The sequence below is a fragment of the Homo sapiens genome, chromosome 12 (assembly GCF_000001405.40).
Source record: "Homo sapiens chromosome 12, GRCh38.p14 Primary Assembly".
Taxonomy (NCBI): domain Eukaryota; kingdom Metazoa; phylum Chordata; class Mammalia; order Primates; family Hominidae; genus Homo; species Homo sapiens.
In genome coordinates this window covers 74,132,935-74,145,194 of record NC_000012.12, presented here as the reverse complement: position 1 = coordinate 74,145,194, position 12,260 = coordinate 74,132,935, and the positions used below count along the sequence as shown (strand labels likewise).

The following is a 12,260-nucleotide window of genomic DNA, read 5'->3' as shown; positions in this document are numbered from 1 at the left end:
TACAATTAATGATGAGATTTGTAATTTATTTTAATAGTTGATGATTATCAAATTGTTATAGCATGTTGATTTTTGGATACATTTAAATCATGCTTTAAGACAGGACTATAACAATGAGGTAAGCATTACATAATTTACAGTTATTTAAGGTTTTCAGGAAAAATATTAGATTTCCTCCTAAAATGTGCAGGGGAGTGGAATAATTATTTAAAGCTTTGTGAACTACTTTAAAAAAATTCTGATAGCCTGTGATAGTAGCAGATTGGATAAATTATAAACACAGTTAAAACAGAAGAAAGGAGGTAAACGTAAGGATGTTGCAATTATCTAGGTAGAAACAATGGTGATTATCTTTCTGGAACCTCTGGTAAACATGAAGAAGGTTCAAACTGGAATTTATTTTAAAGAAATAATTAGCGGGATTCAGTGATATAGAGAACATAAAGTATTTTTTAAAGAAGGATGCATCATATATGATTCTAAGTTTTCCAGATAGAGAATCTAGAAAGTTACCTGGAAAAAACTTCATTGACAGAATTGGGTTAGCTGGAAAGCAAATGAGCTTTGGGGATGATGTGGAGGAGGTGAATTTTGCAATAGCGAGTTTGAGGTGACAAGCCTCGAAATGGCAAAGTCTTTATATATGCAAGTTGCAAGTTTGTGGTCGGGACTACAGACATATACATGTGAGGTTATTGTTAGAGAAATAAATGACTCTAGCAATGAGCTTAGATGAAGATTCTGAAAGACCAAATGAAGACAATCCAGATTTCTTTTTTTTTTTTTTTTTTTTTTGAGACGGAGTCTCGCTCTGTTGCCCAGGCTGGAGTGCAGTAGCGTGATCTTGGCTCACTGCAAGCTCCACCTCCCGGGTGCACGCCATTCTCCTGCCTCAGCCTCCCGAGTAGCTGGGACTACAGGCACCCGTCACCATGCCCAGCTAATTTTTTTTTGTATTTTTAGTAGAGATGGGGTTTCACCTTGTTAGCCGGGATGGTCTCTATCTCCTGACCTCGTGATCCGCCCGCCTCAGCCTCCCCAGATTTCTAAGATTAAATAACTTTCTATATTTTACAGCTGGTTGCAGTCTTTTTTTGGCAGTAAGGATTCGCTGAAAGATGGGGTGATGTTAGAGGATATAGTTTCAAAATATCTTTGTCTTTTATTACTCTAAGTAAGTCATTCTTAACAAATGAAATTTTCATGAAGGTTGCTGTGAGCATGTCATATAAAGGCTCAGCTCTCGATTACATTTTAACCTCTCAGCTTACAATACAGTTATCATGGGGTAGATTGTAGAAGTGTATGTGTTGGGGAGGAAGAAAATGCATCCAAGTATATGAAGTAATTTATCTTTGTACATAGATCTAAAACACCAGCAATATTCTTCTACTCCAGCATTGCTTATTTTATAAGAAAAAAATTAGAAAACAGCCTAAGGCTGTGTCAACCCAATGTCAGAATGGATTGATAAATTCAGCATAAGAACAGTAAAGCTATTTATTTTTTTTAAAATTACAGTTGAATTATAATATTTTTTCTCATTTTAGGTAGATTTCTAATGAGCCAAGATACCTAAGTTAATACTATAAAATTTTATCTTATTAATATCTCTGTACATGTCAAACATTGTAGTACTCAAACATATTTTGGTGGGTGGGTTCCATGCTAAATTTTTTTATTATTTGAAATATTCAGACAGTCACACTACAATGACAGCCTATTTTCTGAATCCATGAGCAACTGAGTTTTAGTTGTGACATTATCACCAGTAGAAATATTTGTCTTAAAAAAAGTGAATCATATTACCTAAGAATTTAACCAGAAAATAAATTGCAAAACACCACCATAAAGGAAGGTAGTTTATGAAGTTTTATAATTATACTGGCCAATATGTAGACTCTAAAATCTACCCTCCAGTCGAAGTAAATAGGATTTCAATGGTTATTGAAATTTTGAAGAATTATTTATGAATAACATATCACATTAAGTTGAAGAGATAAGAAAATGAAAATAAATTATACGTTTCCTGAAAATAATTATATTTAATCTCAATTTCAGATATCACTGCTTTATTTTTATTGTTACTGAGAGTATTATAATATAAATCAAGATGTCAGAAAGATATGAGATAGCATGTGGTCGAATAAGAGAAAATGTAAGGAAAATTAATTAACTTCCTCCCAGAGAATGTAATATGACTTGAATAAACCAAGTTTATCTAGCTAGCTATCATCTACTGTCTGCCCATCCCTATCCACCTACTGATGTATTGAATATATTGTATCCCTAAACTTTAAAATGTTATAAAAGCCTATGTGCAAATTGTCTTTCTCTTTAATTTAAAATTAACCTTTATAAGAGTAGAATTACATTTTAATTTTTAAAAATCAGCCTCAAAACTATCTTGGCCTATAACATGCCAAAAATAAAATATTGTCTTAATGTTTCTCTAAAATCTCAGCCTTTATATAACATGCTTTATGTAAGAATGTGTCCAGAAATGTAAGATTTATTATATACATTTTGGCTCCGCAGAATTTATTGCCCATGAATGAGGACTTAGATTTCAGGAAAGCAAGAGTGTGAAGGATGTGGAAGGTGGTGAGAGACATTGTGTTGGTTCAAGTAGGTGATGGATTGAGGAGCAATTGCAAGCTGGAACCTCCTGGTGATGTAAATACCTGGACATAAGTACATATAATTTTCTAAAAAGCTCTCCAGTCACCCTTTCTACTTTTCCATATAGATCAAGATTAATTTTTGTGCATCATTTTTCATTATGGGAGTATCAAACTCAATGGCTTCAGAGACCTACTCTTAATATAAAATGCATTTCATTAATAGGCAGGATAAAGTGGAGATGACTGTAGAGAACTTGGAATTTCAAGATCCACTAAGTGTTAACAGTATATATGAGGGACTAATGTAAGATCTGCAGATTTTTTAACAGAAGTAGGAAGTCTGCATTTCTAAATGAAATAAGCAATTTAAAAAATACTGAATTGTTAAAATTAAATATATGTACGAAAAATAAAATAATAAAGAAATAACAAAATTAATTTAGGGACCACTAATTTTTTTATTATCTGCATTGCAACCTCCATCTTCCATCTTAACAGGTTTTCCTTGTACTCTGAGCAAAGCTCTTTTTTGAGCCAGATATTTTTATTGCTGTATACAAAGAGAAAAACAAATATAGCTTAAGCAATTTCCCCACTTTGTCCCTGATTGTATACATACTACTGGACAAACCTCCCCACGGTTAACATCCATAATTTTTGTTTACCTGAAAATGACTTCAAATTGGTTTAATATTTGTATACTGTTTTCACCAAGTATACAACTCTGGTTGGCATATGTTTTTCCCCTTTTTAAGTAATGTGAAAATGTCATGGCAGCATCATAAAAAATATACACTACATAAAATAGTAAAGAAAGTTGTTTGGACTGAAGAGATTAAACCAGCAATAAAAATATTGATAATGGTATATATGTTGGTAGACATATAGTTGTACTGGTCCATTCTCACGCTGCTATTAATAAATCACTGGGTAATTTATAAAGGAAAGAGGTTTAATTGACTGAGAGTTCTGCAGAGCTGGGGAGGCCTCAGGAAAATTATAATCATGGCAGAAGTGGAAGCAGCACATCCTTCTTCACATGTGGCAGGTAGGAGAAGTACTGAGCAAAGTGGGACAAACCCCTTATAAAACCATCCGATTTCATGAGAACTCACTATCACTGAGAACAGCAGGAGGGTAACCACCCCCATGATTAAATTACCTCCCACTGGGTCCCACAACACGTGGGGATTATGGGAACTACAATTCAAGATGGAGTGGAGACAGAGCCAAACCATATCAAAAATATATTTTCATTAGCTTAATTTTATTCTCCTAAATTTGTTCATTCAAGCAAAAATTCTAACAATGTATTGTAGGTTTCATCAAATATGTAGAAGCTGTATATAAAAAAATAGCACAAAGGAATGGGGGTAAATGAAAATATATTATTGCAGTCTTTTTTGATTTTATGTGATATGGTAAAATATAAACACTAATAGTCAATGATAAGCTTAAAATGCATATTATAATTTCCAGATGTAACACTAAAAAAAAAAATCTAAGAGAGGGTGCAAATGAGAGAAAAATGAGAAAGAAATACATTTTTTTTAAAAAAAGACAGACCTGAATTGAATCATATTAATAATTAAATTGAACCATATTAATAATAAAATAAAGGCTGGGTGTGGTGGTTTAGGTCTGTAGACTCAGCACTTTGGGAAGCCATGAAGCCATGGTGGATCACTTGAGCCCGAGAGCTGGAGACCACTGAGGGCAACATGGCAAGACCCTCTCACTACAAAGATAAAATAATTATATGGAAGCAATGGCACATATCTGTAATCCCAGCTACTGGAATTTTTTGATTTTGGGTATTAACCTAATCTTAAATTCCTGGGATAGATCCCACTTGGTCATGATACATAATAATTTTTATATTTTGCTGAATTTGATTTACTAATATATATTGTGTATATAATACTAATGTATTTTATCTGTATTTATATATTAGTATATACACTAATAATATAATATATTAGTATATATACTAATATATTATATAATATATAATTATATAAATATATATTAGTATATATGCTATTATAGATTTATATATATAATATATGTAAATATATACAATATATAAGTAAATATATACATTGTATTTAACATAATATAAATATGTATTAGTAAATCTATATGCTAATATAGATTATATATTATTTTATATATTAAAAATATACTATATATCATATACTACATATACGGTATATATAATATCAAATATATATTTGATTTCCTAATATATATTATACATAATATATATACTTTTCCTTGAGACATGGTCTGACAATGTCACTCAGGCTGGAGTGCAGTGGCTCCATCATGGTTCACTGCAGCCTTGACCTCTGGGCCCAAGCAATTCTCTTACCTCAGCCTCCTGAGTAGCTAAGACTGCAGGTGTACTAATATTTTTGAAGTATTTTTTATTTGTTTTGTTTTGCCTTTTTTTTTTAAACCTACATTTCTATTATATATAGGTCAGTAGTCTTTTTTGTAATGCATTTGTCTGGTATTGGTAACAAGTTAATATTAATCTCAGAATGAGTTGGTAAGTGTTCTCTCCTTTTCTATTTTTTGAAACAGTTTACATAGAATTGAATTTAATTCCTTAATTTATTTCTAAAATTCACCAGTGAAGCCACTAGACCTGGGATTTTCTTTGTGAAAAGTTTTAAAATCACCAATTTAATCTCTTTAATTTTAAAGTTCTATCCATATTTCCTATTTCTTTTGACTCGGTTTTGATAGCATTTTAATTCCTAGACAGGAGTCAGTTTTATCTAGGTGAACTAATATGTTGGCATATAGTTACTCACAGTTTTACTTATAATTATTTTTATTTCTTTAAGTTCTGAAATGATATCCTCTCCTTCATTTTTAATTTTTAGTAATTTGAACATTCTTTTGTAAGTCTAAATAAAGTTTTGTCACCATTGTTGATCTTTTCAAATAACCAACTCTGGAATTTTCTGATTCATTCTATTATTTTCCTATGCAAAATTTTATTTATTCCGCTTAACTTTTTGTCTGTTTGTTTCCTTCCTCCTGGCCATTCAGAGTTTATTCTTTCTATTTTCTTGGGGTGGAAGTTTAGGTTATTAATTTGAAATCATTCTTTCATTCTTTTTTATCATAGGCATTTGTAGTTATAAGTTTTCCTCTAAACAATACTTAGAAAAATAGATCAGTGAAACATAACAGAAAGTCCAAAAATTGATTCACATTTTATGATAAATGGATTATTTTTGAAGTCACTAAAGGAATTCAGTGGAGGGAGATAGGAATGTCTTTCTGATATGAGGCTGGATAAAGTAGATATGCGAAGGAACAAAAATGAATCTTTATGGCTCACATCAGAAACATACACAACATACACACACAACATACACACACACACACAAATAATTAGAAATGTATTATAGACTTACATGAAAAAGATGCATAAAAAGCTTTTAAGTGACAAAAGCAGATTATTTTGACATCTGTAATAGAAGCATATTTCTTACTTAGAACACATAAATAGTGAAGGAAACAATGATAGATTAGACCTAATCAAATTTAGAAACATGTTTTTATTATATGACAGTGTTAAAAAATATAAAACACATATTAGAACAAAGCATGTGTTCAGAATATATAATATCCTATATAAATTAAAACTAAGAATAAATATATAACAAAGGATTGGCAATACATTTAAACAAACAATTCACAAAGGAAGCAAAATAAAGGGCCAGTGTGCATATAAAAAGTGTTCAATATCATGAATCGCTGGGCATATGCAAATGAAAATCACATGAGACATACTCAAATGGGACAACTTTACATTCTGGCAACATTAAATGTTGGCAAGGATGTGGATTAGTAACTCTCATATATTACTAGTGGGACCTTCTTCGATGGAACCTCTGACACATTATTTGGCACATTCTTCTGAACTTAAACAAACACATATTCTAAGACCTACTATTCCACTTACAGTCTTTATTTAAGATGAATAAACTATAAAATCAGAAAAACGCTTTCATAACAATTCTATTTATATTTGCTAGAATATGAAAACATTATAAGGGCTGATCAACAGGAGCCAGATATTTTTACTATTGAGAAAGGGAATTATAAATACAGAAAGGGAAAATAATGCTTAATGAAAGCATTAAGAGTCCAAATCTCAGTTTCTAAATGCCAATTTCCACAAAAGCAATTAAAGTTCCTTGAAGAAATGACTAATTCCTATAAGAAGAATAAAAAATGATCCAAAGACATAGTGATGTGTCAGAAAGAAAGTATCAAAATCATGGGGACTTCTCAGATGTTCCCAGGAATCAGCTTGCTGGGCTTTACACTGGCCAAATCTGAACAATTTGAGCATCAAAATATTTACTAAATTATGTCTTATTCAATGAAAAAGAAATCATTTAGCCTACACTGATATAAATAAATGAATAAGCACATAAATAAATGCAAACAATGGAAAAGCACTTCCTTATAAAACAAGGACAAAGTGAAGTCATACGGAAGGAATGAAGGTGTTAGAAAATTATCAGTAGATGATAAAAATACTAGATACATTTTGCTGAAGTTAGTTCCAGTTTCATCTCTGCTATGTAAAAATCCTGAAAGTTGTCATTTTCATCTTTATATCAAGACAAAGCTGGGTGAACTGGTCAAAAACTTTTCTAGGAAATATCAGAAAACTGGTGTATAAAAGGAAAAACTGCTACTCCAAAACCTGGACATTTAAATCTACAGATACAGACGAGATCTGCTTAGTTGCAGTAGAAGCCATAAACTAGTAGGAACTCAGAAGCCATAAACTGGTAGAAATGGTAATTTTGATAAATTGCTGGAGGCTGAGTGTGAATAAACATGAGAGTGTAAAATTCCTGAGGGCTAAAGTTTTACAGGGGAGCCCATCACATTCATGGGATTTACCTACAGAAACTTCACTAATTTCTTACAAATGAGATCCAGGAAAAATTCCCCTTCTGGTTGTGGCAAGCAGAGGAGAAGAGTAACCATTGAAATAAACCCAGAGACTTCACAATAAGAACTACTATGTGCAGAGAATTTTTTTTTGCCAGAGCATTATCCCAGATGAGGAATGGAAATTCGTTTTACTCCAGGTCTCTCCCACCAGCCTTTCCGTTTCATTAAGGAAGAAAAAAAAAACTGTCAAAAACTGTCAGGTGCTTCTCAAAAGAAAACATACAAACAGCCAACAGACATATGTAAAAATGTTCCCATGTATGTAAAAATGCTCCCACATCATGAATCATCATAGAAATACATATCAAAACCACAATAAGATACCCTCTTACACCAGTCAGAATGGCTCTTATTAAAAAGCCAAAAAACAACAGAGGCTGGCAAGGCTGCAAACAAAAGGGAATACATACACTGTTGGTGGGAATGTAAATTAGTTCAGCCTCTGTTGAAAGCAGTTTGGAGATTTTTCAAATAACTTAAAACAGAACTAATACCATTCAACCCAGTAATTCCACTACTGGGTACATAGCCACCCAAAGGAAAATATATCAGTCTACCAAAACAACACATGACTCCTATGTTCATCGCAGCACAATTCAAAATAGCAAGGCCATGGAATCAACCTAAGTGCCCTTTGATGGTGGATTGCATTAAGAAATGTAGTAAATATATAATATGGAATACTACACAGCGATAAAAAAGAATGAAATTATAGCCTTTGTGGCAAAAATGGATGGAGTTGGAGGCCATTATTCTAAGTGAATTAATGAAGAAGCAGAAAGTGAAATATCACATGTTCTCACTTATAAAAGTGGGAGCTAAATTTCAGCTATGTGTGGACATAAAGATGGGAACAAGAGATACTGGGGACTAGTAGAGAGGGTAGAGGGAGAGGGTGGAAAGGGTTGCAAAATTCTCTTTTGGTACTATGCTCACTACCTGGGTGATGGGATCAATCATATCCCAAACATCAGCATCACACAATATGCCCATGTAACAAACTTGCACATGTATCCCCTGAATCCAAAATAGAAACTGAAATTAGAAAAAAAGAAAAACAAAACAAAAAACAGCTGTCAGGGTTGTCATAAATAGACTACAAATATTTCAGCCAGGGAAATAAGTAGATGGCAAGGAAAAAGGAATTTATACTCGTGAAAAAATACGAACAATTGTGAATGTTAGATCTGAGAGACACAGATCATCTAAAAGTTGGATATTTAATCAGAAGATGATAAAATGCCTTTTAATCCCCTTTCCACTGCAACAGGGCCCCATGAGAGTAACAGTGGATTACAGGTAAAAAAAGTGGCATGTCATGGACTCTCTCTGATGAACAGTATTTAGTTAAGGATAAAGTCAAGAGGAGAAATATAAAAACAGACCATAGAGTAATTTAAAGCCTCTGGCATCTATAGATATAGCAAATATTAACACAATCCACTTCTAGGCAGGTTACCATAAATCCTAACACTAAAGGCCTACTTATCTCAGTTCTTATTAACTGATCATATCCCTGCATTTCAACCAAAAATTATAAGATATACCAACCAAAACAGAGACACACATAAAACAAAGAAACAAAAATCCCTCGTCTGAAGAGAAAACAATCATTAGAATTGGATATGACACAGATTTTGGAATTATTAGATAATTTAAAATAACTATAATTAATATGTTGTTTTAATAAAAAAATTAAGCAACAAACAAAAACAAGTAGGTAAAGTAAGCAGAGAGATAAAAAATGTAAGATCAAAATAAAATACTAGAAGTAAAAAGCAATGTAACAAGATTAAAAATGCTCATGATGTGCTTATGAGCAGAATTAAAAACAAAAACAAAACAGCATCAAAGAACACTGGGGCAGTTCCAAGCTATGTAACATATGTGTAATTGGATTACCTGAAGAGAAAAAAGAAAACAGCAGAAAAAATATTTGAAGTAATAATGGCTAAGTACTTTCCAAAGTTAATGATAAACACCGGACCATACATAAAAGGAGGCTGAGAAAACACTAACCAGAAAAAATACTTCTCCCCCCGAAAAAAAACACGTTAGCCTATCATGTTCAAAAGAGCGAGAGACAGAGAGAGAGAGAGAGAGACAGAGAGAGAGAAAGATAAAAATCTTAAATGAAGCCAGAAGAGAGAAGAAGGAACTTTTAGTATAAAGGATAACATAAAAATTACAGTGGACATGTGAGAAATCAGACTAGTGGAATAAATATTTAAAGTGTTAAAAGAAAAAGTATATAATAATTTATCTCACATTAAAGCAAATGAGGAAAATAAAAAATATATAAGTCTAGGTAAAGAGCCTATAGGAGTTTCTTGTATTATTCCTATACTTTTTGGAAGTTTAAAACCGTACCAAAAAGATTAAAACTAAATCAACATAAAGAGTTACTGAAAATAAAGTAATGTTTCCAACTCATAATCCTTTAGAATTAGAGATAAAGGAATGTAGAGATCTAATATGTTTCCAGAAGATTTCCCTTATGTAAGGAATAGGAAAATGCAAGTTAAGTAATAATGTCAGGTGAAGTCACTGCTGAGGTGAGAAGCACCTTGGCTAGAATCATGGCAAAGTGAAAAAGAGGTTTACATTGGGAATTTTCTTTCCAACTGAGCTTATCTTTTTCTTGACACTAACAAGTCTTGATGTAGACATAGCCTACGACACCCTAGGAGCAAAATAAGACATAGCATTTTAGTTAAATTCAGATAATTCTATTCTGATAAAAAAGACGAACAAGAGAAAAATGCAAAATGTTAGGAAAGTTGGAAAGTTTCTCTGTCTACTAGATCATTCAGCATAATATAAGGCACTGTGAAATGATGATCCTTAATATTAGCAAAAAGTTTTATTATGTTTACCTTCATCAAGCGATGAGATTAATTTATCTATTCCATATGTACATAATCAGTAGTAGTTATGTAAATATAAAATGTAAATTACAGTACCACATTTATTTTAGATAACTTTTGATACATAGTCAAAATCTAAGCAATAAGGGTGCTTGTCAGGCAAAATAAGTTAAAGTTGTTAATATTTAAAGTTTGCATAAAGGAAAGTTTCTGTAAGTGATAATTCCTGTTTTCAATTCATTTTGTAACTGTTTATATAATCAAGAAACCTGTTAGTATGAGCCAAAGAACAGTTTATTCATGCAACATAAATTATTTCTGGGCTACTCCATGCTTTTTCCTCTGCCATACCTATTAGAGCTAATTGGTGTAATTCATGTATTACTGGGAATCCTATGAGCCTACAAATAACATTGTAATTATCACTCCAAATTTTCAAAAAACTTTATCAAATCTGAAAACCTCCCACAATTCTGTATTAGTATCTAACTGTATGTTGGTTGTCTTTATCATGATCTTAAAGGAGGAGAACACATTTAATTGAAAGAATGTAATTAGCCCATTAATTACTGACATTTTTCTCAGTTAGCAGTTTTTCCATATGTAGTCAATAAGCGTATTGTGAATATCAGTAGAAGTTACCAAAATATCTCAGAACAGATATCAAGAAAACCCAATGAAGAAAATTTGGCTGCTATTAGTTTATGAAGTGGTAGTGCATTTATTTTTATAAATATAATTGTTCTTTCTTAAGAAATCTCTATACAAGTTTTTAAACTCTACCCAAAAAGTGGTCATTTTTAATTGATCTTTGTATTTCTGGCATTTAGCACAATGTCTGGCACAATGTACCTTATACACAAAATAATGGAAGGTAAGAAAGGAAAAAGAGTGGGAGAAGGAGGAAGAGAAGTTAGCAGAGTACAAAGGTAGGCCTTCTGAAGACAGATAAACTAAAACTTATTTTTTTTGTGGAAGAATTTTGGATGGAAATAGCATAAATATTCCAAGGAGTATTTGGTAAGTAGAATGCTTTAATTCAAGGTAAAAACAAGAACAATGTGATTTTCAGACTTCATCTGAAGTAAGGTGTGTAGATAGGCAAAGTTATTTGTTTTTGTAGTTTAGTATTGATTTACAGACGATTTGTAATGTATGAAAGATCCATAGGCTTCAGAAAGTAGTAAGGTCAATGAGCTGTCATTGTTTTCTTTTTCAGAATTTTCTTAGCTGTTCTTGGAAGGCACTCAAATATACCAGTCAAGAGTGTCAGGTTGGAAACCAGCTTACCTCCAACCATTTCCAGACACTTGACACTGTGAGTTAGGGGTTAGTGTTTCTCTTGTTTAGCATAGGTAGAATGGAACCAATCTACATCCATATCCAAACCGTCACTGGATTGTCAAAATTGTTTTTAGTTTCTACTAATATATTTGGTGTATAGGTTGTGATTTTTCCCAGAATTAGTAAAAACTATTCTAAATTCATATAGGACCAAAAATGATCTTGAAAAGCCAAAGCAATCCTAAGCAAAAAGAACAAAGCTGAAGGCATCACATTACCTGAATTCAAACTATACTACAAGGCTACACTAACCAAAACAGCATGGTACTGGTAAAAAACAGACACATAGACCAATGGAACAGAAAACAGAATCCAGAAATAAAGCCACACACCTAAAACTATCTGATCTTCAACACAATTGGCAAAAATAAGCAATGGAGAAATGACTGCCTATTCAATAAATGGTGCTGGGATAGCTGGCTAGCCATAT

At 32.1% G+C, this 12,260-nt stretch overlaps 1 long non-coding RNA gene across 1 annotated transcript in view; it reads left to right on the top strand.

The window, feature by feature from the left end:
* LINC02882 (long intergenic non-protein coding RNA 2882) overlaps positions 1 to 12,022 on the top strand; it is a 159,459-nt gene extending 147,437 nt beyond the window's left edge. The window contains exon 7 of the long non-coding RNA NR_038300.1: positions 11,979 to 12,022. This is a non-coding gene — a long non-coding RNA (long intergenic non-protein coding RNA 2882). The remainder of the gene's footprint in view (positions 1 to 11,978) is intronic.
* The last annotated feature ends 238 nt before the right edge of the window (positions 12,023 to 12,260 follow it).